At 37.0% G+C, this 27,625-nt stretch overlaps 1 protein-coding gene across 2 annotated transcripts, besides 4 other annotated features; it reads right to left on the reverse strand.

Annotated features, from left to right (window-relative positions):
* Positions 1–704: 704 nt before the first annotated feature.
* On the reverse strand, positions 705–25,408 carry CCDC34 (coiled-coil domain containing 34). Of its 2 annotated transcripts, NM_030771.2 has the most exons (6): positions 25,029–25,408; positions 19,596–19,734; positions 12,525–12,632; positions 3,585–3,743; positions 2,889–3,030; positions 705–1,228 (listed from the first exon to the last, which is right to left on the reverse strand). In NM_030771.2, the coding sequence occupies exons 1-6, from the start codon at positions 25,385–25,387 to the stop codon at positions 1,014–1,016; spliced, it is 1,122 nt and encodes a 373-aa protein (NP_110398.1). In that variant the 5' UTR covers positions 25,388–25,408; the 3' UTR covers positions 705–1,013. The 2 variants fall into 2 exon arrangements, with proteins under 2 accessions (NP_110398.1, NP_542385.1); NM_080654.3 differs by lacking the exons at positions 705–1,228; positions 2,889–3,030; positions 3,585–3,743 and having other exon boundaries at positions 11,062–12,632.
* Positions 23,215–23,509: a silencer, noted in NCBI's record as "tiled region #11938; HepG2 Repressive non-DNase unmatched - State 6:EnhF". NCBI's record gives its function as "represses a minimal TATA promoter and a strong SV40 promoter by Sharpr-MPRA in HepG2 cells {active_cell/tissue: HepG2}" and the evidence as "EXISTENCE:reporter gene assay evidence [ECO:0000049][PMID:27701403]".
* Positions 24,802–25,669: an enhancer, noted in NCBI's record as "H3K27ac-H3K4me1 hESC enhancer chr11:27384156-27385023 (GRCh37/hg19 assembly coordinates)". NCBI's record gives its function as "activates a minimal SCP1, AML or CMV promoter by ChIP-STARR-seq in naive H9 embryonic stem cells {active_cell/tissue: H9 hESC(naive)}" and the evidence as "EXISTENCE:reporter gene assay evidence [ECO:0000049][PMID:30033119]".
* Positions 25,355–25,424: a silencer, noted in NCBI's record as "silent region_3208". NCBI's record gives its function as "represses an Ori minimal core promoter by ATAC-STARR-seq in GM12878 lymphoblastoid cells {active_cell/tissue: GM12878}" and the evidence as "EXISTENCE:reporter gene assay evidence [ECO:0000049][PMID:35858748]".
* Positions 25,665–25,834: an enhancer, noted in NCBI's record as "active region_4543". NCBI's record gives its function as "activates an Ori minimal core promoter by ATAC-STARR-seq in GM12878 lymphoblastoid cells {active_cell/tissue: GM12878}" and the evidence as "EXISTENCE:reporter gene assay evidence [ECO:0000049][PMID:35858748]".

The following is a 27,625-nucleotide window of genomic DNA, read 5'->3' on the forward strand; positions in this document are numbered from 1 at the left end:
CCCAGCTACTCAGGAGGCTGGGGCAGGAGAATCGCTTGAACCTGAGAGGCAGAGATTGCAGTGAGCCAAGATTGCACCACTACACTCCAGCCTGTGCAACAGAGCGAGACTCCATCTCAAAAATAAAAATAAATAACAAATAAAAAAATAAAAAAATTTCCTTTGGAAACCCCAACCCTGATTTATTTGTAACCAAACATGCCTTCAGTTATTAATTTAAAAATATCCGAGGCTGGGCAACATAGGAAGACCCCATCTGTGCCAAAAGAAAAAAAAAAAATTAGCTGTACCTGGTGGCATGCTCCTGTGATTCCAGCTACTCAGGAGGCTGAGGTAAGAGGATCATTTGAGCCCACGAGTTCAAGGTTACAGTAAGCTATGATCATGCCATTACACTCCAGCCTGGGCAACAGAGCCAGAGGGAGACCCTGTCTCAAAATAAATAAATTAATGTAATATAAATAAAATTAAAATATTTACACAGGGAAAAATATGCCAAAACCCATCAGCAAAGACTGTTTTTGATTACTCTAGGGTGCTAACCCACTTAAATTCTAACCCACCATCCCTTAAACTTTTTTTCTATTTCCTTTTTTTTGCTTTAAATTCTTCTAAGGGTTACTCAAGCATGCAGTTTAGAGGTGCTTGTTTTGAACAAATTAATCTTATGTTCATAAATGTAAACTAGTAACAATATAAAACAATACAAGAAAAATTGTTAGTTTTATTGGTATTACAGTGTACTTTTAATACAAGCTAAATACAAACACAATTCTTACATATTCAGCCACTTATTCTGCAAAACAACATGCCAAGATCAACCTTAAAAAGTTTATAAAAACCAAAATCCAGAAAATATCTTCCTCAACTCTAAGGACTCCATATACAAATGCAAAAATTGCTATTTGTCAATAATCACATTAAGTGTTGAGTTATTGACTGAGCAGTAAAAAACAATTTCTGATTTTTAAATTAAATAGCTCCAGATAAAAGCATGTTATTTTCCACATACGCTATCTTTGTATTCTGCACAGAGTTCCAAGGCAAAGATTGCTCCTGGCTTTATGAATTACCAGAGATGATGACTTGTGTGGCTGACTTATCACAGGTCTTTTACTCTTCCTTCCTGATAGATCCTTAGCTTCTTTGGGAGGTGGCATATGAATTGGTTTCCACGGAATTGGATTATAAAAGGCTGGTTCTGGATAGGAATTTCCACTGTAAAAACCTAAAATTATTGAAAAATCAGATCAAAACAAGGAAAAACTTTCTTGACATCAAAGAAGCCACTTAAAACTTCTAGAAAAATGTTAAAATGTCAAATGGACAAATTATCACTAATAAGCCAATGTGACTTATTTGAAACTTAAACTCCTTGATATTTTCAAATAAGTAACACTTTCCAAATACAGTAAATATTTAGTTAAAATTAAAGCATAAATGATAATTCTAAGAATCCAAATAACATTAGTGTTAAAACCTATGTAAATCAAACTCCTATAAAATTTTTACTAAGAAATTAATTTTATGATCCTTAAATTCAACAAAACTTTCATTTTCTTAACTCAGTCTGGGAAACTACTGATTGTGTACTAGCTTCCTCTTGTCAGATACTGAAGTTTACAGAAAAACATTTATTTTTCATATGAAGTTATAGTAAATCAAGGTTCTTGTTTAGAATCACAGAAATTCTGAATCAGTGTCAATAAGATTTCACAATATCACTGTAATTGTGATTATGAGTTACGGAGCATTCTTTTGCTAATGTATATGAAGTGTTTAAAGTATTGTGATGTCTGCCATCTAATAAACACATTTGAAGGAAGAACATTTTACATATCATCTCCAAATCCTTCAGTCACTACTGACACAAAAATTCCTTTATTTCATAATTTATAAAAATGATATGAGCATAAAGAATAAAGAAACTTAAGTACAGCATTTGCAGACAAATATGCTGTTTGTTAGAATTAAACTCATTAAAAATGCAAAAAATTAATAAAACAATCCATTATTTTAGCAGTTAACTTCTAGTCAATATGTTTAGTATTCCCACCTAAACTTTTAACTTTACTACCCAATTACTGGGTTAAAGCCACTGCTTATTACTCTTTTTTTCAAGCAAGAAACAAAAAGAAGGAGCGGGACATGCTCAGTAGCTAAAACAGATGACCTTCGTGACATATGAGAGAGGCCTAATCCTGACAGCAGGAATGTGTCTTTCAGACACTGGCAACCCACTTGGCATAGATATGCCAACACTCACTTCACCAAGATGGTCAAAACAAAGTCTGGAATATGTTCTATTGTGTGAACAAAACAGAATGGGAGTATTTTAATAATAAATCACTTAAACAAGTGAAGGCAGCTGTCAGCAAGGTATGAGCTTCCAACATGAAGCACAAAGAAAAACATGCACTACCCTTTATAATCAGACCAAGACTAAAGGCCAATCGGTTTTGTGTCTGGTTCATGTGCTGTCTAGTATTCTACCTCACACAAAGAATGTGCCAAGGACATGGGAAGCTCTGCCTTAGAGAGGGTTAGAAGGAGAGGAGGCAAAACGACCCCTTAAAATATATCCTGATTAAGGCTTTATCACTGAAAAAATGTAAGAGAACATTATTCATTTCTTAATGTTACAAATCACTACTTTAAAGAATAAGTTTGCAGTTTTGTAACTACTGCTTTTAAGAAATACAAATGTGGAGAATGACAGTACATTTGTAGCATCTCCATAGGAACATGACATGTTTATAATATAATCTTCTGGAAAATAGTAATTTGAAAGAAAAATAATTTTTACACATTTCTATTTCTGTCAAAAGGAGTATAATATTTGCTTCTGCAAACCATATTTATGTAAGCCACACAACATAAAAACCAACCTGTAAGTTTTCCATTGGCATAACCATAGCTCTTTGCAGCTGGACGAGGTTTATGTTTCGCATTTTCCAACCATTCTTGAAACTTTTTTTCTGCTATTTCCTTTTTCTCCTGTATTTCAGCTTGCTGTTGTTTTTCTTTTTCCTTAAAATGACAAGACCAAAATATTTCCAGGGATATTCTGTAACTATACATTCCATTCAAATTCTACTGATTTTTTTTTCTCCAGTAGCTTCCTACCCCAATGGCTTACTGGCCATAATACTGAATCATATTTTTATAATATGAGTAGAATATTGAACATGATCATGGACATACATTAAGGTGTCTGGCTCTGAAAAACAATAAGACATCAAACCCACAAAGAAAAAAGTATTTGCTGTTTTCAAAGAATAGTAATTTATAAAATGGCAGTAAGACTTCCCATAAAATGCACTGAAAAATATTTAAAAGGAGTAACAGCAACCAGTTTTAAACCTGACTGAAAAAATATCAACAGGCTTACTATTTCTCAACTTAAGAAAACTACAAATGCATATTCATTTTTGAAGTTTAAACACAGCGTAACAGGATAGCTTCTTGTGTTTATTTTATGCTAAGATAGTGCCAATTTTCTATTAGATACTTTTTCTAAGATATAGTTGACACATATGAACACCAAAGTTATGTATTCTAACTGGTCACTTTAATAAAAATACCTTTTCTTTCTTCTTCCTCTCACATTCTTCAGCATTTTTTTTCTTTAACCATTCTTGATATTTTTCTTTTGCTTTTTCTTGCAAGTATTCTTTCTCCAGTTCCTTTGCTGCTTTTTCCTCCATTTCTTTATTAATTTTTTGTTCTCTTTCTTTTCTTTTCTTAAATAAAAATAGATAAAGTTTAATTGTAATACCAGTAATTATACTCATCTAAGGAAAGACTGCTGCATTCAGCAATTTTCTAAACTTCAATTATTTTTAAAAATAGACATGATATCATGGCAGTTGGCACAACATGGTTTATGAAAATATATAACATACCTGCAATTAACAGTACAATGTCAGTCTACCTGCTGGGCTATAAGTTTCATGAGGTCAGTGACAAAGATCTTGCTCACCAATGTCCACTCAGAGCCTGGGGCAGTACTGAGTGAAAAGCAGGTGTTTGATATGGTTTGGCTGTGTCTCCACCCAAATATCATCTTTGAGGGACCTGGTGGGAGGTAACTGGATCATAGGGGCAATTCTTTCCCATGCTGTTCTCATGATGGTGAATAAGTCTTGCAAGATCTGATGGTTTTTTAAAAAAGGAGTTCCCCTGCACAAGCTCTCTCTCTTTGCCTGCTGCCATCCATGTAAGACGTGACTTGCTCCTCCTTGCCTTCTGCCATGATTATTAGGCTTCCCCAGCCACATGGAAGTGTAAGTCCAATTAAACTTCTTTCTTTTGTAAATTTCCCAGTCTCAGGTATGTCTTTATTAGCAGCATGAAAACAGACTAATACAGTGTTCAATCAAAATTTGTTGAATAAATGATAGTGAGTAAAAATTACAATCTGTTAGATTGTCTGAATCTTAGTATTTTTTAATGGATGCTTACTCTCATTCTAAAACAGGGGCTATATATATATATATATATATATATACACACACACACACATTTATATATAAATATATGTATATATATGTATATGTAAATATATATGTATATATATTTTTATATATACACACACACATATTTCCAGGACAGTTTGTCAATATTAATATTTGCATAAATCTTTGCCATCAGTGAATTAAGAGAGGAGAAGTGAATAATGCTCATTAAACACTGTATGTAAGGGCACATCCAGGCAAATCTCTGGCTATATAATTCTTCCATAGAACAAAGGGTGGCAAACTAAGCACTGACAATCACATCTGATCTACCATCACCTGTATTTGTAAATGAAGTTTTATAGGAATGTGGCCACACTCATTTGTTTACATATTTATTGTTTATAGTTGCTTTTGCACTACGACAGCAAAGCTGAATGGCTGCAACGGAGACTGCATGACCCCAAAAGTTTAAAATATTCATTAACTGGCCCTTTATAGAAAAAAAAATATTGATCCTTGACACAGACTATAACTCAATATTTTTTCCTCCTTATTTAAATGATAATCTACCAACACAGCTAAATTCTAAATAACCAATGACATAGCCAGTCTTCTTTATCAAAGGTTTGGAAACAAATCTGGAAGGCATAAAAAGTATATGCAATACAAATGCCATACATATCACCCAGGCAAATAATTATGAGCCAAGAAAAGAAATTCTTCCCTTGAAAGCAGCTTATAGAATACATTAATATAAGCAATTCAATGAAGACTCAACCAACAAACATCAGTTATAGACAAGATATGTCCAGGGCTGTGCAGGAAAGACAGGTCTTAAAAATCAAAGCTCAGGATGGGCATGGTCGTTCATGCCTGTAATCCCAGCACTTTGCGGGGCCAAGGCAGGTGGATCACCTGAGGTCAGGAGTTCGAGACCAGGCTGGCCAACGTGGTGAAACCCCGTCTCTACTAAAAATACAAAAAATTAGTTGGGCGTGGTGGCATACGCCTGTAATCCCAACTACTTGGGAGGCTGAGGCAGGAGAATTGCTTGAACCCAGGAGGCGGAGGTTGCAGTTAGCCGAGATCGTGCCATTGAACTCCAGCCTGGGAGACAGAGCAAGACTCCGTCTCAAAAAAAAAAAAAAAAATCAAAGCTCAAGTAATTCCCCAAGTTGTATCAAAGTTGCTGTATTTCCTTCTTGCTGGGCAGCCAATAGCTGTGAAACAGAATCTTTTCATGCTGAGAACTCAATAGCCATTGGAACAATACTGGATTTTAACTACTTCAAACTGTCAGAAGATCTACAAATTGAAAAGGACCTTGGAGTACATCTTGCTTAATCTCCATGTGACTCATGACTGTCCTCCACAACTTTACCTATAAGAAATCAACCAGTTCTTACATTGTTTTTAATTATAGCAGCTGACATTTATTGAGTGCTAACTATGCCTGTTACCATTCTACATACTTTATTTGTACACACTCTCAATTCTTATAATCATGATGTGAGGTAGATACCATTATTATCCCATTTTACAAAGGAGGAAACTAAGGCACATGGAGGCTAATTTGCCTAAGGTCATAGAGACGGTGAGTGACAGATCACACAGACATCATACAGAAATCAAAATGGGAGAATGTTAAAACCAATTTTATGCCAATAAATTCAATATTTTAAATGAAATGTCAAAATTCCTTAAAATATGCCACTTCCCAAAATGAATTCGAGAAAAAGTAGTGTCTGAATAATCCTCTACTTATAAAAACAATTCAAAATTAAAAACTTTCCTACAAAAACTCCAGTCACTGAAAGCTTCACTAGTTGATTCCATTACAGTTAAAGATACTCCATATTTTAATAACATAAAATATTATTGTGGCATATCTTAATAGTATCAAACCTTAAAAAAATGATTTTAGAACACAGAGAAAAAGTAAACATATCAAAGCTCATTTTAAGAGTCCAGCATTATTCTGACATCAAAACCAGGCATGGAAATTACAAGGTGATATCAGAAACGTTCCATATGAGTGTGGCTGGGAAAAAAACATATATATGTTATAAACATATGTATATGTTATAAACACATGCATGCTGCATGTTATAAACACATGCATGCTGCATGTTACAAACATGTATGCTATATATTATAAACATGTGTGTTACATATATGCTATAACATGTTACTTGTGTTATACGCATTGTTACATGTTATAAACATGTGTACATTACATATATGCTATAAACCTGTGTTGTACATACGTGTAAATATATAAAATATATATTATATATCAGGAACAAGGCAAGATAACTGCCCTCATCAGCAAAAACATGAAATACTGAGAAATATATTTAACAAAATACTGCTATACATTGAAAACTAAAAAACACTGCTAAGAGAAATTAAAGAAGACATAAATAACTGGAAAGAAAAACCATGTTTATAGATTTAAAATTTGATATTATTAAGATAGGAATTTTCTCCAAAATGATCTATGTGTTTATATTTAGCAGAATCCCAATAGTGCCAAGCACTATTAGGACAGGCATTATTAGGGAAATTGATAAGATGATTCTAAACTGTATATGGAAAGATGCAGGGCAACTAAAACAAGTTTGAAAAAGAATTGAAGACCTGGAGGATTTACACTATCTGATTTCAAGAATAATAAAATTCAGAACTATAAAACTATACTAACAAGTTAGTGTGGTACTGCACAGGATATAAATCAATAGAATAGACTAGAATCCAGAAACAGACCTATAAATATGTGGTCAATTGATTTTAAACAAAGGTGCCAAAGGTAGTTTAATAGGGAAAAGATTATCTTGTCAATATTGTTAGGACAATTGGATATCCACATGCAAACAAATGAATCTTGACCGTTAATGCATACTATACATTAAAATTAAACTCAAATAGACATACAGGTAAAGCTAAAGCTATAAAGCTTCTGGAAGAAAACAGTGGAGAGTATTTTTACCCTCTTGTGGTGGGCAAACATTTTTTTTTAATTTTATTATTATTATATTTTAAGTTTTAGGGTACATGTGCACAACGTGCAGGTTTGTTACATATGTATACATGTGCCATGTTGGTGTGCTGCACCCATTAACTCTTCATTTAGCATTAGGTATATATCCTAATGCTATCCCTCACCACTCCACCCACCCCACAACAGGCCCCGGTGTGTGATGTTCCCCTTCCTGTGTCCATGTGTTCTCATTGTTCAGTTCCCACCTATGAGTGAGAACATGCGATGTTTGGTTTTTTGTCCTTGCGACAGTTTGCTGAGAATGATGGTTTCCAGCTTCATCCATGTCCCTACAAAGGACATGAACTCATCATTTTTTATGGCTGCATAGTATTCCATGGTGTATATGTGCCACATTTTCTTAATCCAGTCTATCATTGTTGGACATTTGGGTTGGTTCCAAGTCTTTGCTATTGTGAATAGTGCCGCAATAAACATACACATGCATGTGTCTTTATAGCAGCATGATTTATAATCCTTTGGGTATATACCCAGTAATGGGATGGCTGGGTCAAATGGTATTTCTGGTTCTAGATCCCTGAGGAATTGCCACACTGACTTCCACAATGGTTGAACTAGTTTACAGTCCCACCAACAGTGTAAAAGTGTTCCTATTTCTCCACATCCTCTCCAGCACCTGTTGTTTCCTGACTTTTTAATGATTGCCATTCTAACTGGTGTGAGATGGTATCTCATTGTGGTTTTGATTTGCATTTCTCTGATGGCCATTTCTTAAATAGAATACAAAAACTACCAACAATTAAAAAAACTGAAATATGGAAATTCATCAAAATTTAAAACTTCTCTTTAAAAAATACCATTAATCAGTGCTTCTTCTTGTTAGTGAAAAAAAAAATACCATTAAGAAAAATTAAATGGGGATTTCATGACCAGCCTGGCCAACATGGTGAAACCCCATCTCTACTAAAAATACAAAAATTAGCCAGGTGTGGTGGTATACTCCTATAATCCCAGCTCCTCAGGAGGCTGAGGCACGAGAATTGCTTGAGCCCGGGAGGCAGAGGTGCGGTGAGCCAAGATCATGCCACTGCACTCCAGCCTGGTCAACAGAGTGAGACTCTGACTCAAAAAAAAAGAGACAGAAGAGAGGGAAACAGGAGGGGAGGGAGGGGAGGGGAGGAAGGAAGGGAGGGAAGACAGAGGAAAGAAGGAAGGAAGGAAGGAAGGAAGGAAGGAAGGAAGGAAAAAAGGAAAAGTTAAATGGGAAGAAATATTTGCAATACATATATCTGAGAAGAGACTTATAGTCTGAATATACAAATTCTCATATCTTAATAATAAGCCATACAACCCCTTCAAAAATGGGCAAATGACTTAACACAACACAAAACAAGCCAACAACACAAAACAAGCCAACAACAAAAGAGATGTAGAAATGGTCAATATATGTTATGGACTGAATTGTATTCCTGCCCCTCTCCCAAATTCCTATGTTGAATCCCTAATCCTCAATGTGACTGTATTTGGAGATTGCATCTTTAAAGAGGTAATCAAGTTTAAATGAGGTCATAAGGGTAGGACCCTAATTCAATAGGACTGGTGTCCTTACAAGAAGAGGAAGAGACACCAGGGATATATGTGAACAGAGAAAAGCCCTGTGGGGACATAAAAAGACAGCCGTGGAGAGAGGCCACAGGAGAAACCAAACCTACAGATGCCTTTATCTTGATTTCCAGTCTCCAGAACTGTGAGTAAAGATATATTTCTGTTGTTTAAACCACCCAATTTGTGGTATTTTGTTATGGAAGCTCTAGAAGACTAATATAATAAGCTTATGAAAATACGCTAAACATCATCAGATCTCAGGGAAATGAAAATTAAAACAATGGCATACCACTCCACACTCACTAGAAGGACTTAAAATGAAAAAGATTGGCCATACCAAATCTGCCAAAGATGTGGAGCAACTGGAACTTTCTTATTATAATAGTAGTGGAGATGTAAAATGGTACATGTACTTTAGACAAATGTTTGGCAATTTCTTATAAAGTTAAACACATACTTACCATATAGCCCAGTAATTTAGTTCCTAGGCATTCACACAAGAGAAATGAAAACAAGTGTCCACAAAAAGACTTGTACATGAGTGGTCACAGAATTTTATTCATAATATCCCAAACTGAAAACAACTCAATTGTCCATCAACTAGTGAACAGATAAACAATTTCTATGAAATTGAATGAAACAGATAAACATATTCTATGAAATGTATTTCATAGAATACTATAGTCAGCAATAAAAAGGAATAATACATGAAATATCAGGATAAGTTTTAAAACAAAAGACCAACACAAAAGACTATATATTCTATCATTCCATTTATATGAAATTATAGAAAAGGCAACTCTAATCTACAAGTACAGAAAGCAGATTAATGGTTTCCTTGGAGCTGAGGCTGGCTGGGGGCAGGGAGTGGGGGTGAATGCAAAGGGGCAAAAGGAAACTCTCTGGGGTGATGGAAATGTTCTGTATCTTTAATGGTGATGGTTACATGGGTACCTAAATTTGCCAAAGTCATCAAACTTAAAATAGTTGTATTTTATTGTATGCAAACTACAGCTCAATAGAATTAATTCTGAAAAAAAATCAGACAGACTTCTGTAGGATTTAAACTAAAGAAGTGTGAACAGAATGCCTTTAGTTAGCAAAAGGAAGACACAACAGGCACTCAGAGCAGTCACTACTACCGAGAGAGGAACCAGCCACTAAGTGGCTTCAGATTTTCTGGCACGCTAGTTCTACACCACACAGAGCACAACAATAAATCTTCCTTTTTTAAAGACGCTGCACCGAGAGAACCTTTGTTTCATACAACTAAAGGAAACTAACATAACAATTGGCTACTTAAAGTTTCTGGATTTCTGTTTTGCTTTCTCCAATAGTGCCTCGCACACAGTAAAAGCTGAGTAAATATTTGTTGAAAGCATGAATAATGCAATGATAACAGTGTTATCCATCATATACCTTGTTGATCTGAATTAATGTCTTACATTAGAAAATCAGTTGTGTTTTGAGAACGAAAAACGATTTTATTTTTAAATAATTTTTAAAAACATTAAAAGTAAAGGACCTTTTACAAAATATGTGATAACACTGTAATAAACACATCCAGAAAATAAATTACCACGGCAACACAAATGTTAGGAGTACCAGATGAGATAGAACATTTATTTTAAAAGCACTTAAGAATTTACAGTCATATTATAAGAAACTAGCTTTGCTAATGAATGCATAAATTCTTTGTGTCTGATTTTTTGATAAAACACAGTGAATATGACTTAGAGAAAATAGCAGCCACAGATACAGCTAAAATGTGAATGAAGCTGGAGGCAGCTGAGGACCACACACCATGAAATGTAAACAGAGGAGAAAAAAGCTAGATGCCAGACAGGAAGAGAAGAACCAGGAGAGCAGTCTTTACAAATAGAGGTAAATGTAACTATGTCTGAAAGAAGAAATCTGATAGGTCTTAAAGAAAAAAAAAAAAAAAAAAGAATAATCAATTATTCCTTAACATGAACAAGAGTTCTGCAGAACAGGTAAATATAACGTCTCAGTTTTATTTTTAAATAATTCTCAACATTACGGAATTTTGCCTTCAATAACTAGTGATTTATGTCAGGGCAAGCCACTTCCCTCCAAAAGAAATAATTTTTTTTTTCTTCAAATAATTGGATTAGGTCTACTGCCACTAATTAAAACAGTGAATATATTGTCTCCCAGAAGTATCTTACATTCCTAGACAAACAACAACTAGGTTTGATTGGCATGGTAAAATTAGCTTAATGGAGTTAGAAGATAAGAAGGACTTTTAGAGGAAAGAGCAAACTATTCTGCATGTGTAAAATAATTTTGTTTTATAGTTACAAATTTCAAAAAGATATTACCCAAAGTTTTATAACAGTCACAGAGATTTATTTTGATTTTTGAATTTATTCACAAAGATCTCTTTCATGTTATATCATGGGATGAAGTAAACTTTTTTAAAAAAACAAAGTAATTGACTTCTAAACAAATATGGTTATAACACACATACATCTAACCAATTTCCTTCTTATAATACTTGGATGAAGAAGGTTATATCATCTTCAATTTACTGAAATTATTTACTTAGTACTCTTATTAATACCATTAGGCATTAGATTCAACAATAAAGATAAAAAGTTAGAATTAAAATTTAAAATATTGTCCTACAATTTAAACATTTTTCCACATTTGTAAAACTGGATTATAATAATAAAAGCAGTACCACTCTAAATATGTAAAAATCACAACAGAAGACAAATTGACCACAGAATAAGTATTTTTAAAATTTCGAATGTGTGTGATCCATAGAAGAATATATTAAAATTAAAAGGAAAAAATGCAGCCATTCAATGAACATCTTCACTCAATTAAACTATTTTTGGACATATATCATGCGCAGGTATTCATCTAGCTCCTGGAAAACTGAACAAAAGAGGCAAAAATCCCTGCCCTTATGTAGCTTACAATCCAGTATAAGAAGTAAACAACAAGTTGAAAGATATAATGGAAAGAGATCACAAACAGGGGAGTAGTAATTGTAAAGAAAAGGAGGAGATGATTAGGAACAACAGAAGAATTCTAATTAAGCCTTGATGACCGAGAAGACAGCTGAATGAAACAGAGAAATGGGAGGATGGATTTACGAAGGAGAAATGGGCAAAATGGGTTGTTTTAGATTTGCAGACTTGGAGGCACTTGCCATAAGGATCCAAAAGGTCAGGCCTAGAAATACAGACTTGGTGACTGCCTGCAGGCAAATATTAGTGCAAGCCACAGGAGGGAAAAAGGAGAAAAGTAGAGGGCAAAGGGCAGAAGATAGAGACTTGATAAATGTCCACCAGGATAGAAAAACAAAACAAGCCAAAGAAGAAAGACTCTAAGAGAAGTATTTTTTAAAACCTAGGTAATGAAGTATAATAGGAAGAAATATTTTGCAAAAGAGATGTCAATGTGTGTATCCATTTTCCCCTCCTTACTTGCTCATTCTTTTTCTGAACCCATTCCTTGTGCTTTTCTTCAGCAATTATCTTTCTTTTTTCACGTTCTTCCATTTCTTTTCTTTTTTCTAGTTGTTGATTTAATTCCTGTGGATTTTATTTAGACAAAAGGCAACATTTAATAGAAGTACCCAAATAACATACATTTTAAAAGTCTGAGGTTATTAACCAAATTAAACAAGAATATAGTTTCCTTTATGGAGCATATGCCACTAGTGGCAATAACTTACTTAAGTAACCAGTCTATGATGAAAAAAAGCATTGGTAAAAGTATAAGTCATTTTTTAGAAATGTGCAAATAATTGCTTGGCAGCAAAACACTAGTTTCCTAGACTAAACTTCAGCTAAATTACCCTCATTGAAATCAACTTTCCCACACATAAATTTTGGCATCACTCTAAGCTACTGGCAGAAGCTCAAGAGAATTGCAACTTTTTTTTTTAAACAGTTATAAGAAGCTTCTGGATTCCTGATGAAGATAAAGCATAGAAATTAAATAATCCCTATATTAAAAATTTAATTCAGTTACACAAAAGAAATACAAAGAAACCATTCAATTTTCCTTAGGGAAAAAAGAACCCAGAGTTTTCTTCACTGGTTTTATAGCTGCTGAAGTGTAAAACAAAATCACATTCATATCCCAGATTATTTAACTGCCTTGCTGTCACTCGAATCTACACGTTTGGGCATTTCCTCAGGAAAAAGAATGTGAAAGGTATGGCCAAATAAAACTACAAGTTGAATGCCACCACTCTGTCACTCATCAGTTAAATTACTGCATTGGTTTAGAATGCTGTTCAAACTAGACTTCACTAGGACTCCACAACCATAATTACTGGTTATTTTTCTTCTCCGTCTTTAGATACTAATAGTCAGATACCTTACGTATCTTCTGTTGGTCTCCACACTCCTCCATAGCCCTTTCTTTCCCAAAGACCTACCTACTTGGGCATGGGTGGTAGTGGGAAAGACAATTTTCCAACCCTCAGACTAATTCCAGTGTCTTAAATGAAGATAAAACTTGACACCAAGAACATCTCTTTTGCATTTTAAACAACTGGTCACAGGAAATCTGTCTTCCATAATCACTCATCCTAAAATTCTGCTGCATAGAAGATAGCCGCCCTCACTCAGGAAGTCTTCCAACTTTTAAACACTATACCCCCAAAAGCAAATATCCATCTTTAAGGATTTTTCATCACTTCAGCAGCTATTGTTCTTTGATGACTTACTCAGTATACTTTTATGGTACACCTACTATGGACCTAGCAATAACTGATATAAATCTGATATAAAGATGAAATCCCAGAAGTCTCTGATCTGATTTTCTATACACTAAAGAAATAAGTGCTACATTGCGAGTTATTGCATATCATAAAAGTTCAGAGAAGGGAAGGGAAGATGAGGAGAAACATCTTTCCTTCCCCCTAGCCTAGTCTACCAGGCTAGTCAGAAATGAGCACCATACAAGGAACAGTGAAAAGATGGCTTCGAAAGGAGAGAGATTGGGAGGTGGGAGGGGGTAGAAAATTTGAGCGTGGTACTAGGTAGATGGAGAAGGTCTTTTGAGACAGGCAAAGTAAAGTGAACTATATGAAACAAGAATACCCGGCAAAAGGGAAAATTCAGAGCTCTTAATGACAAAGGCTGAAGACTGCATTTGAAGGGATGAGAACTATTCTGAGGAAGACTGACGAAGAGTGTGCCATAGTATATGAGTTATAAGAAAAAGAAGGCCTGGGCCTCTGGGCCAGGCGCAGTGGCTCATGCCTGTAATCCCAGCACTTTGGGAAGCTGAAGCGGATGGATCACTTGAGGTCAAGGGTTCGAGACCAGCCTGGGCAAAATCGTAAAACCCTGTCTTTACTAAAAATACAAAAATTAGCCAGGTGTGGTGGCAGGCGCCTGTAATTCCAGCTACTGGGGAGGCTGAGGCCGGAGACTCGCCTGAACCTGGGAGGCAGAGGTTTCAGTGAGCTGAAATCATACCACTGTACTCCAGCCTGGGTGACAAAGTGAGACTCCATCTCAAAAAAAAAAAGGAAAAGGAAAAGGAAAAGAGGGTTTGGACTTAGGAAACAAAAGGGGGAAAAATTATACATATATATACATGTACACATACAAATACATGTGTATATATGTATGTTTATATGTGCATGTGTGTATATATACAAATATATAAATATGAAAGACATTAATTAATTGGCTAGATATAGACCTGACAACTACATATCAAAAATTTTCCAAAATAGTCCCAAATTTTATTTTCAAGAAAAGTAATTATTTAAATGTATAACTAAAGACATGATTGACTATATATTTATGTACCTTTTAAGATTCTTCATTTACCTAAACTAAAAAATCAGAAAAAAAGAAACCCTGTACTCCTATTTGATGGCTAACAAATTTTAGTTAATGTTGATTGAAGGGTTAAAGAAAAAGGGTCAAAATGTATCTAGAAAATGCTACCAATAACCCAAACAGTGTTCTAATCTTGGATGTCTGTTCAAGTAATTTGTCAAACCAGAATATACATCACATTTTGAGACACAACCCTCCCTTCCAAGTCTGGCCCTTCTTAGAATTTCCCACCCTGAATGACTCCATGTTTACCACAAAGGCCAGTCTCCTTCAGGACACAGCTGGAGTCTTCCTTCGAAAGGCCCCTACATGGTCTTCTGGTATACCACTGAATTTCAACAGGATTACAGATAGCTATTAATATTTTCCCGTGGAATACAACACTTGATTATGGAAAACCAAAATCCAAAGAAGATCTTAAACATGCATTTTTATTTTAATAGGTTTTGCCTACTTTCAAATAATTTTTTACCACTGAAGGTAATAATAATCAGAAAAACTGACAGTTTTGAGTTTCACCAACAGCTCTATATCCTGCCCTATTCGTTCGTTAAGGGCTCATTAAGGGCTAATGAATAAAATGGCCAAAGGCAAGATGGTTAAAAAAAAAAAGAAAAAAGAAGGCACCAGGACTACTCACAAACTAGGTAATTTTTATAATTTACAACTGATTATAATATTAAAGCAAATATTAAGAATTAGAATCAGCCAATGACCATAGAGAACCTGGAGCAGTTGGCTAAATAATTATTTATAATAATTAAAAAGTAAATAAAAATTAAATGACCTATAAAACCAATATACTAGTTTTTCATAATGCTTGATAATTGATTCAATATTTACCATATTTATCATCTCAACAAAAGTTACAAATGTATACCATTTTGTAAGTGGGTAATTTTTATGAATTAAAATAATTTTTTAACTTAGTCCCACAGAGATGTCTGAAACAAACCAAATGTCTGATGCTCAAATCAAATTTATGAGTGTGGATGATCTTTTTAATGATTAAATTATCCTACAAATGTTCTCTTAAATCTTAAAGGAAGAAAATACGAAAGCCAGAGTTCATTAAAAAATAAATACTAAGTCTGACTCACTTATTTCTAAAATACATCTTGATATTGTGGGAAAAGCATTTAAATGGAAGTCAAAGAATTAGGTGCCAGTCCCAGTTCTGCCATGGACGAAGCCTTGGCAAAATTACTTTTCTGCCTTTCATGCTTTTTAGTTTTAATAGGGATCTGAGATGACTATTCTTTATGGTTAAAAATTTGATATGGTTTATAAACAAATTAGGGATACAGTAAATACAGAAAAATAAGGAAAACATGAGATAAAAACAAAATAAAGGAAAAGGCAGTGAAAGAATGTGAATACCACAAGAGCTCAACATGAGCTTACAACAAGCTGAGTAGTTGGCCTATATGTTAGGATATCCCTGGCATAACTGATATGTAAGAGTCATGCTAAAACTGAATCACTTCAGAGTTGAGTAATAAAGTAGCCATAAGAAATGTCAAACTACTAAATATATAAAAAGGTTTTAATCTTTGAACCAAATTACAAATAATTATACCCTGCTACATGCTTATCATTGTGATAGGGTTTATATTTATTATTTTAATCTGTTCTCAAAACAAATCTTCATAGCAGTTATTATGATCTCCTTTCACATATAATAACTTTGAGTGCTTTGTACATATTAGTCCATATCCTGATGTTCATTTAGTCCTCATAACAACACTATGAAGCAAATATTATCCTCCCCCTTTCACTGATAAGGAAATTGAGACACAGAAAGGTTAAGGATTTGCCCAAAGTCCAAATTTTGAATGCAGGAAGTATGGCTCAAGAATTTATGGTTTTAAACCAGGCACCGTGGCTCACACCTGTAACCCCAGCACTTTGGGAGGTGTCACTTGAGCCCAGGAGTTGGAGGCCAGCCTGGGCAACATGGCAACCCCCCCACCCCCACCCCAACAAACAACAATAAAAACAAAAATTAGCCAGGCGTGGTAGCGTGTGCCTACAGTCCCAGCTACTCAGGAAGCTGAAGTGGAAGAGGAGGGGAGGTCAAAGCTGCAGTGAGCTGTGATCACGCCACTACACTCCAGCAAGGGTGACAGAGTGAGACCCTGTCTCAAAAAACGAAAACAAAACCCAGAATTTACACTTTTAACTACTCCACTATTGTCTCTCTAACATCTGGCTTATAGATGAAGAAACTGAGGCTCAGAGAAGTTAATTAACTTTTCTAATGTCACAGAATTAGAATGGCAAGGCTAAAATTTCAGCCTTGTTCTGTGTGACTACCAAGCCCGGGCTTTACTAACTTTCTGAAATTCAATTAACTTCTCTCTGTACACTGACTAAAAATGACTGGAAGTGACCCTCCTTTTCTTAATATAACAAGTAACTTCTTGTGAGACTGTAGATAAAGCCCAATACCAGAAATTGAATTTTGTTCTACCATTAACTCACAGGATCAGTATTTTCCGAATTGTAAGTTTAAAACCAATTTAATGAATTATGACCAGCCTTTTGAAAAAAGAATAGAATACCAGGTTTTGCACAAAATTAAGATGCTATTTCACATACATATGTATAAATACATATATATAGAGAGATATATGTAGGTATGTGTTTTTATAACATAAAAAAATAGAGTGCTCACTATGAACAAATATTCTTAAAAGCTACTAACTAAATAATGGACTTAGTCATTGAGGTAAGAGAAGTAAGTCTGGGAATTCAAAAATACACCCCAATTCTGAAAATAAATGAAAAAGCTTTAAGAAGACTATGAATAGTAATGATATAAATAACAATACAAATAAAAACAAAGCCAGGCATCTTTATACTTTGTTACATTTAATCCTCACAAAACCCCTGTGACACAGGTATTATTTTATTCCTCTTAAGCAGACGAGAAAATAGAAACATAAAAGTTTCAATAACTTGCTTACACCCAGCAAATAAAAAGAACCAGGGTTTTTATTATTCTTGCCTAACATCAACCGTAAGGTCTTTCTCAAGCCCTGTGTACTGTCAAGAGGAAATAAGTGCCACTCTCACAGCGCACTTTTCCAGGAATAAATTTGTAATCTAGAATACAAAGTATCATACAATAGGAAAACAGCAGAATGTATTAGTTTTCATAATCATTTGAATTATGCCAAGCCTCTGGGACATGTGACTGCTTGCCTGGTTAGAAACTTATCAAATAATAACTGGTTTCAAAACTAACAGAAAAGTTATTCTAAGGAAGATCATGAAGCTTTTGTTCCCAGGATTTTTTTTTTTTTTTTTTTTTTTTTTTTAGACAGAGTTTTGCTCTTGTTGGCCAGGCTGGAGTACAATGGTGTGATCTCAGCTCACCACAACCTCCGCCTCCTGGGTTCAAGTGGTTCTCCTGCCTCAGCCTCCTGAGTAGCTGGGATTACAGGCATGCACCACCACGCCCAGATAATTTTGTATTTTTAGTACAGATGGTCTCTCCATGTTGGTCAGGCTGGTCTCAAACTCCCAACCTCAGGTGATCCACCTGCCTCGGCCTCCCAAAGTGCTGGCATTACAGGTGTGAGCCGCCATGCCCGGCCAATTCCCAGGATTTTTTTTTAGCAACAGTTACTAATAGACTGAAACATCCAACAAGAGTGAAACAGATAACTATATTTTAACAAATATGTAATACATTTTAAATATATTTAAATAATATTAGACAGCCATTTTTAAATGTTATAAAAATGTTTAATGATAGAGAAAAAGAGTTTTATCCTGTTTCATTAAAAAGAAGAAGTGTCCCTCATCATTCAAATCTATCTGGCTTCAGTGTTTGGATAGGAAGAATTCAGATAGTCTAGATAGTGGGTTTAGGGGATGCCAAATTATCCAAATCTATTTGGTTGCCATGTTCTGAAACAGTAAGAGTTCAAAAAATATGTGAATATTCTCATTAAAGAAGAGATGTGAAAATGCATCTACAACTATTTATTTTTTGAGTTCATATAGTAAAAGTTCAAAAGAGACTCACGCATGGAAATGTCCATAAGTGAGGGAGGCACAGAGAAACTGAAACACCCTGAAAGACTAGCAAGCAGTTTCCCACCGCCCAGCACATAGGGCACATGCTCACTGAGTGACACACGGTGGGGTGGGGTGGGGTTGGGGGTGGTGGGGTGGGGTGGGGTTGGGGGTGGTGGGGTGGGGTGGGGTTGGGGGTGGTGGGGGGGGGCAGGTAGATTCTTGCCTCTATTTTGTTTCAGTAAAGTTAAAAATTTTGCCGAGTGTATACAGTTGAATTTACTTTAGTTAAATGTACATATGTTGATGCTCCAGTGTATGTAGACATACAACTTATACATACATTTGTACGTATTTCAAAATAATTTACATAGAAGAAAATCTGGAAAGCTATGTCATAATACTAACAATGATTATCTTCAGACAGTGAAATTAGAAGAGATTTTAATTTTCTTAATTATGCTTAGCTGTATTTTCCAAATGCTCTAACAATGAACATATTTCTATTATTATAACTTATTAGTTATTAAATTTGATATAGTAAACTAACATAAATGCAAAGACTTTGTTTTCAGGAATAATAACATTAACATTTTAATTTACAACTGCAGCTCTACTTTGTGAGCTCACAGATTAAATAAAAAGAACACTGTCTAGTTTTACCTCTAGAGCTTTCAGTTGCAGCCGGTCACGTTCTTCTTTTTCTTTGCCAATAAACCACACCTCCCATGGTGTCAGGCGGCTTTCTGGTAAGCGCACCTGTTTCTGTTCTTCTTGGTTATTTTCTGATTCAACCTGAGTGCTACAAAAGAGAGGCTACTATAGTACTTGTACAAGAACCTCTTTTGCTTCCTAGTCCAAATCACTTAACTGTACAGTAAAAGCAAAACTTAATAGTGTATTTTCAATATTGTGATTTTTACAAATATACAGGAATTATACATAAGTATACATTTAAAAAATCATGAAAAGAAATTCTAATATTTGAATTAGTTTACCTATCAAACTGCCTTTGAATTCCTTCACCTTCTAAAACCACGTTATTTAAAACCCCATTGGGATAACCCACACCCTATACATTTGCCTCAATGCCAACACTTTTTTATTTCTAAAAATCTTACCTGGATAACTAATTACTCATTACAACATATAATCCTAATCAGATACTGAAGCAGACTCTTCCCTTTCCCGCCCTTAAGTAGTTCAGGAAAAAAAGATTATGTAGTGCACACAAAGAGAATAATAGAGCAAACATGTAACAATTAGGGACTGTGGGTGAAGGGTAAATGAAAGTTCTTTATATTATTTCACCTTTTTTATAAGTTTGAAATTGTTTTGAAATAAGAAGCCACAAAACATTCTTTAACATTTTGGTTGACACCCTTTTGCCAATCCTTAGACAGGGTGTGTATGACTCTCTAGTCTGGTTACCTCCTACCATAGTCTCCATCTCCACCATGCACCTCTGTCAGTCTGTCTCTTCTGAGGGTAAGGAAAAATAACAATTCAGGGTAAAGAGAAGAGGGGCAGGGAAATAAGTATATACATAAATAAAGAACACAGGGTCTTGGCCAGATACACAAGCCTCATGAAACTGAGAAAAAGCTTAACAATCAGCAGCCATAGAAAGCAAGGTTGTTCAGGACATAAGGTAGCTCTAAAGACTAGTTTATTACAGACTCAGTTCTTTGTCTCTTTCACATTCCTGCTTATAGCAACCAATTGCTTCACCCACTGCTTTGCACAACTTTTCTACTTCATAGATTCAGCTTACTCATTATTTTCTGCTACTATTATTTCTTCATTCATTCATGCCCTTATGAAATTTGCATTCTAGTGGGAAAGAGACACTGTTGATGTGTTATTTCTTATATGCGTCTTTCCTTCCCAGTCTTGCAGAAGGAACCCATCTGCCCCCACTGTAGTGCAGTTTCAACTACCACTACATGCTGATGATGTCTATATCAGTAATTCCAGGCCAGACCGTCATCTTGAGTTCCAGATCCTTATTTCCAACTATGTGATACATAACTCAACTTAAATATCAATCAGTTGAAAACAAATCTAATCATCCTCTACCATCCACCCACCACCCTTCCCACCAAGAAAGTATACTCCTCTTACAATCCTACGTCAGTGAATGTTATCACCCTCCAGCCAGTTACTCAAGCCAGAAGCCCTAGCTCTTTGACTCCACCTGCTCCTTGTCAACATGTGGACCCCCCCCCCCCACCGCCACCACCTCCCATACCCACATGATCACCTAGTCATGTTAATTCCTCTTTCCATTTTTGAAAGCCATTCTTGTTTCCTCCAACCTTACAACCACCATCTGGACAAAACTGGCCTCCCTTTCTCCCTTTCAAATCATTATCCACACCTCTTGCCAGATTCATCCCTCAAATGTTATCTTTCTATCATGTCACTCCTCATCTTAAAGTTCTTCAATGGCATCTTTACCCACAGGATAAAATCCAAACTCCTTAGCCTGACACCCATGAATCTGCCCTTTGCCTATCTTCCAGCCTCTTCTTTCACCAACGGCTGATCCAGACTCTACATTTCACTCACTAGGAACCCCTGCAGGTTGATGAATGTGCCACGCCCCATGCCCTGTAACTTTCACCTAAATCTGAAATTCCTTTCTTCCACCTCCGCATAAAGTCAGATTAAGAGCTTAGATTTGGGCGTAAAACAGCCTGGGGTGAAATCCTATCTGCTTCTTCCTAGCTATGTACATTTTTTTTCTTTTTTTTTTCTTTTTTTTGAGACGGTGTCTCCCTCTGTCGTCTAGGCTGGAGTGCAGTGGCGCGATCTCCGCTCACTGCAAGCTCCGCCTCCCTGGTTCACACCATTCTCCTGCCTCAGCCTCCCGAGTAGCTGAGATTAGAGACGCCCGCCACTACGCCCAGCTAAGCTATGTACATTTTTTAAAAAACTTCTTTAAGCTTCTGTTTTCTTGTCTATAAAATGGAGATGACAGTTGTGGCTGGCTACCTTACAGGCAGAATTGCATGAAACTATCCATGCTAAAGCACTTAATATAGTTCCAGGCACTCAGTAAGTACTTAGTAAGTCATTTATGACGAACTCCTACTGTCCCTTCAAAATTCAACTCCAGCACTGCCTGGAGCCACAACTCTTGGGCTTCCTGTCACTTGCTCATCTCTGCCACAGGTCATGAGTTCCTTAAAGAAAATATATCTCAACTCATTTTTTTATTTCAAGAGCCTGGCTTAGGGTCTAGAATATAGTAGGGTCCTAGGAAACAGTTGTTGAAAGACAATCAGATCAGTGGGCTTTTCTTTTAAGAAATGACACTTTGAATATTAAATTTCCTTCCTTAATATTTATAACAAATGTGTTCAAAATGTGTGGCGCACACACTACAGCTCTACTTATAATCAAGAAAGGCTTGACAAGTGGCCATTTGTGAACAAGATATTTATTACAGCATGGTTTTCCTAATGGATAGTGGTAGAAAAACCAGGATAAAGCTGAATAAACAGCAGGCCCAGAGCACATTGTAAAATATTCCAGGAAAACGCTTCTCATTATCTTGTCTGAAGCTAACTTTGAGCTTAATCTCAGTTCTGACCAATACCCTTGAAGGTCAATGCATCCTCTAAACATGGCACTATTTATACCAAAAATACCTTGAGGTAATATCCATTATGTGCAGCTGATGCCTGAGCCTAGCTCAAAGAAGCCTTACCCGATTCGTTTTGCCAGTCAGATCAATATGGCAGGTGAGGCATGGAGAAAAGGCATAAAATCCCACACAGCTCTAGGTTGCTCTCTGCTTCACACAGAATACTCAAAACCCAGAACAATGAAAGGGCTGACTCAGGTTGCCTGCTCTCTTCATCCTGTCACCCCCAAGCTGTCCAGGGCACCAAAGAGAGGTCAGCAGTTTGACCTCAAAAGCCAGATTGTGGACTCCAGAACTCTTATCCCAAACCTGAACACCAGAACGTGGTTTACTGCACCTTAGTAGTACCTGTGGTTGGTTATTCTGAAAACATACTGATTGCTAGTGAAGTAGGTTGTAGTAAACAGGTCACTTTTTATAACACAAAGTGCTGAAGCACAGAGATTAGCAATGTCAACCTCAGCATGTGGAGACATGGTTAGATAGGATCTGAGCATGCACAGAGGAATGGATGTCATTGTATCAAAGAATGTTAGGACCAATGGAGAGAAAGAATGAGGAAATTTTCTAAAAATCTACCTTTCCTGAAAGGAAGTGCTAAGTTTCTGAAGCATTTGACAATAATCACTGCATGTATCTGTTCTTTAGGAAGTGGGAAATGGACATGCAGTCAGCAAACGTTTATTGAGCACCTAATAAGCATCTGACACTTGCCACACACAATGCTTGACAACTTCAGCATTCTCTTTTCAAACCCACGTCCCAGCTACTCCTTTGATTCATAGGGACTGAAATGTGATAAGGAAGGCAGCCTTAGCCCTGTGGTGCTACCAGCTCATTCTGGCTTTGGATAAGTGAGACGTACATACGTTCACCTCCTCCCCTGGCAGGCTCCACTTAGTCAGGGCTTTGGCTCTTGGAAACTAATGCAAGGTTTCAGTAGCTGAGCTATAGTTCCGATGGTCATTTATTCCGCAGGTCACTAACTTGTGTCCAGATTGCTTAGTCCAGTTGATTATGCTCAGAAAGTATTTCCTAAAGCCTTCAAATTTACTTTAAATACCTTTGAGACCAACTCAGTCCTGAAGAATACCTACAAAGGCCCAGATGAAAACAATTTACTGAAACCCTAACTCTACCATTAAATTTTACTATCAGGTTGATCAGAGGAGGCCTGTTTCTTGTTGCTACAACCAGCCTGGATGAGTGGCTTGCTTGGTTACTCTTTCTGATCTCCATTCCCACCAATGTACTTACTTTTACTTCTCATTCGTAACTAATTCACTCCTGTAACCATGTATACGGGTTACTTCATATGGGTTCCATATTCCATTCACTCATGCTGGATATGAACACCCTGTACTGAAGGGGGAATCTTGCTATTTACACATAAAGCATGAGTTCTCTGGCCTGTATTTCTTAGAGCTCCTGTACTGTGCCTTACACAGCTTGACAATCATAAACTTGTAAATGATTTCCGAAGAAAACGTAATGAGTCTATCCCAGAATAGACCTGCATTACTGGGCCTGTCTCAGAAATATTCCTTCAGGGATTGGCCCTTTGCTCCTACTTCTGTATACCCAATACTAGGCATGCAGTTTAGGAAAGAGAACATGATCTGTCTATCTTCGTAGTAGACCCAGGTCTGCTAATAACTAGGTGCATGCCTTTGAGTCACTTTTTGCATTCTGAGCCATGGTTTTATTATCTGTAAAATAAGTGGATTGATTTAGGCTTCAATTCATGAGAGTAGAGACCAGTATCTTGTTTACGGTCCCCAGTACGTAGACTAATATGTGGCAAACAATGTTTGCTGAGTGAGTAACAGTAGAAATAAACAAATTAAGACAGTTTTAATAACCCCATTGGTCCTAACATTGATACAATGACATCCATTCCTCTGTGCATGCTCAGATCCTCTCTAACCACGTCTCCACATGCTGAGGTTGACATTGCTAATCTCTGTGCTTCAGCACTTTATGTTATAAAAAGTGACCTGTTTACTACAACCTACTTCACTAGCAATCAGTATGTTTTCAGAATAACCAACCACAGGTACTACTAAGGTGCAGTAAACCACGTTCTGGTGTTCAGGTTTGGGATAAGAGTTCTGCAGTGCACAATCTGGCTTTTGAGGATTCATAGAACGCCTGAAATGGTAGCAGAGTTTTGTGTGTTTGAGACTATGTACATTTTTCTGGGAAGTGAGACTGCAGCAATCATAATATCTCAGGAAAAAAGGATTAAGAGCCATAGGAAATCTATGGTCATTTGCAAGAATTTGCACAGGGCTCTTTATGTGCAAAAAAAACCACGGCACCTCAGTCTGCAAGTGCCTGCTCTGCCTTTGGGGCGGAGGGCAGGAGGATGTTAGAAGGGGGTACTTAAGAGGGTCTAAGGAATCTTGAAAAGGGCTGAATCGGCCGGGCGGCCTCGGGTTTACCTGGCGCACCCCTGTAACTCCATTCCTCTCAGGCTCGCCACTTTGGCCTCTGAATCATGGGCATCTTCATCCACGTCTTCCTCATCATCCACGTCTTCCTCATCCTCCCCGTCACCGTCGTCCTCGTCAAACTGGAAGCTCTGGTGGCCAAGGGGAGACAACAGCGACCTGGTGGAATTGCTGCAGCTCAGCGGCAGCGGCGGCGACGGCGAGCGCACCACCTCCAGCCCCTGCCCACGTGCGCCCGTCATAGGGACTGAGCAGGAGTCCGAGGAGGGCCGAGACCTGGGTCTGCAGTCAGCAGAGAAACCGGCGTAGGAAGAGGGAAAAGTAGGCCCCCAGCGCCCCGCCGCCCACATCTGGCCCGCCAAGTTCAAACTGGCGGAGCCGCGGCGGGGACGCGCTTTCCCAGCGGGCCCTGCGCGCGCCAGGCCGGCCAATCCCGGCCAGCACAGACCCCGCGTTGCCATGGCGACGCGTGGAGGCCGGGAGGACTTTGTCAGGGCCTGCAGAGCTTGGCTTCCTCCGCCCCGGCCTCCCTTAGCCAGCCCTTCCTCCTCAGTGGCAGGAAGGTGCCTGCTGTTTGCAAGCTTGTTTAGTACGGTGTCTCCCCACGCCACTGGCGGGGTCCTGGCTCCCTACCGACAACTTTGAGGGCCTGTCCCTTGTTTGCCGTGGTGTTGCAGTTCATTTTGTACATGAAATATGTTACCTGCCACTGAATCAGGGAAAGACGCAGAAACCAAAACCACCCCCTATATAATTACGAGGTCAGAATTGTGAGCATCGGTCGTGATTTCTTTCAGCACAAGTCGATATATTTTGAGGAGAGGGGAGGGAACTTGATCCAAGTTTACAGGTGTATCCCAGAACGCACTTTTAGGACAGTCATTGCGTGTTTTGGTAGCACTTCGTTTGCCTGGCATCTTAAGGGACCTAATTTGTCTACACATGTGAATTTTTGACCTCTTTGAAGCCTCTAGTGTATTGTAGGGTCTGCGTAAAGCACAAGGGATAGATGATTAAAAGTCTCGCCCTTAAGTTCCTCATCCTGTTGTCGTGAAAAATGATCTCAGTAAATATGCTGATATGCATTTTATGTGGGATCTGAGGGGCACTCTCGGGAATGGGGATAAAGGCAGTAAAGGAAAGGTAGATGCTTTATTCATGCTGACAAAACTGTACATTTGTAAATAAATAGGGCTTTTGTCCAGTTCATAATGTATATTACCGGTAGAAATACCATAAACGAAAATTGACCATGGCTAACACATCACACAAAACTTTTTAGTGACCAGAGTGATACAAAAACTTTGATGAAATCTAGATCTGCAAAATTTAACACAGGAGAATTAGCTATGGTAGAAGTAATAGCAACCAAAGGCAATTCAGAAGGCAGAGCTATAATTAATAAAATATGACATGATTAAATCTATTTAAATTGAATATTTTCTTTAAAATTTCGGTGAAAACAAAATGAAAGAAAATTGGAGCACTCCAAATGAGTAATAAAGTTGATCAAGGAATAAAACTGACCTAATGGAGTTTTCGTTCTCGACCCTAGTTATTCAATATTGGCATTTAAAAACCTTTTATCAGAACATCTCTAGAATCAGTAACATCGAAACGCACTGAGCTGCCTTAGGGCCTCATAAAGAGGTAAGCTTGAGAAGCTGTTTTCCAATAGATATAACCAAACATAACTGTAGTGGGAAAAACACTAGTATGAAAGGGACCTGGAATCAGTGGTTTTCTTGGTACTTGATAGGTTTTCCATTCCTAACACTCCTCTGAAAATAGGGGAAAAATTTACCTCACAGGGTCATATTATCTCATTAATTCTCAAAGTTTCTAAGCTCAGAATCAGAAAGATACAATGAAAAGTTGTGTGTAAACTTCAGAACTTTTTCACTTTAACCTCTACGCATGGGAATCTAAATGTCATATACTTCTTTGTCCCCTTAAAATGTTTTCCTAAACAAAGTATACCCTTTTCTTGATGCGCCAGGGTCATCATTATGACCAACTGTGACATTATGCACTAGCAATGCTGGACCCCCCCAAGGGTATGAGGCAGAGTCAGATGGTGCTGGTGCTGGTGTTTGAACATAATTAAGTCCAGCGGCCTCATTTCTTACAGTGCCTTTTCATTACTGGAGCTGAGAAGCCATAATCGAGATGGGTAGAATTATATATAAATGTACAAATGTATAAAAGAGTGTCTCTCCCTTTAAGTTTTAGGGTATTGACTTAGTGACATCTTTTCATACAATTAGTACTTTGGCCATGGTATATTTGAGGTAATTATGTTTTGCTGGCTCTGGAAACTTATATAAGAGTCACTTTTGCTTAAATAATTCCATCACCAGTTAGCCCTGTGGCATATATTATGCAACTTTAAAAATTTATCCCTAGACATTAGTATTTACAGATGAAACAATATAATGTCTTAAATTTGCTTCAAAATAATGCAAGGGGCAGAGGGATTGGAGGGGATTAGTGAATAGGATGAAGATGAAACAAGGTTCACTACATGCTGCAGATAATTGTCAAAGCAGTGACAGGTATGGGGTGAAGGGTAGGGAGGTGGGGTAATT

The sequence above is a fragment of the Homo sapiens genome, chromosome 11, assembly GCF_000001405.40.
Source record: "Homo sapiens chromosome 11, GRCh38.p14 Primary Assembly".
NCBI classification, from domain to species: Eukaryota; Metazoa; Chordata; class Mammalia; order Primates; family Hominidae; genus Homo; species Homo sapiens.

Excerpts from the sequence above, each read along its gene's own strand:
- CCDC34 (NM_030771.2), bottom strand. The coding sequence starts at position 25,387 with ATGTGGGCGGCGGGGCGCTGGGGGCCTACTTTTCCCTCTTCCTACGCC. Across the intron at positions 19,735-25,028 it reads GAGTTACAGGGGTGCGCCAG|CACTCAGGTTGAATCAGAAA; the intron begins GTAAACCCGAGG and ends TCTCTTTTGTAG. Across the intron at positions 3,031-3,584 it reads AGAGGAAGAAGAAAGAAAAG|GAAAAAGAAAAACAACAGCA; the intron begins GTATTTTTATTA and ends TGTCATTTTAAG.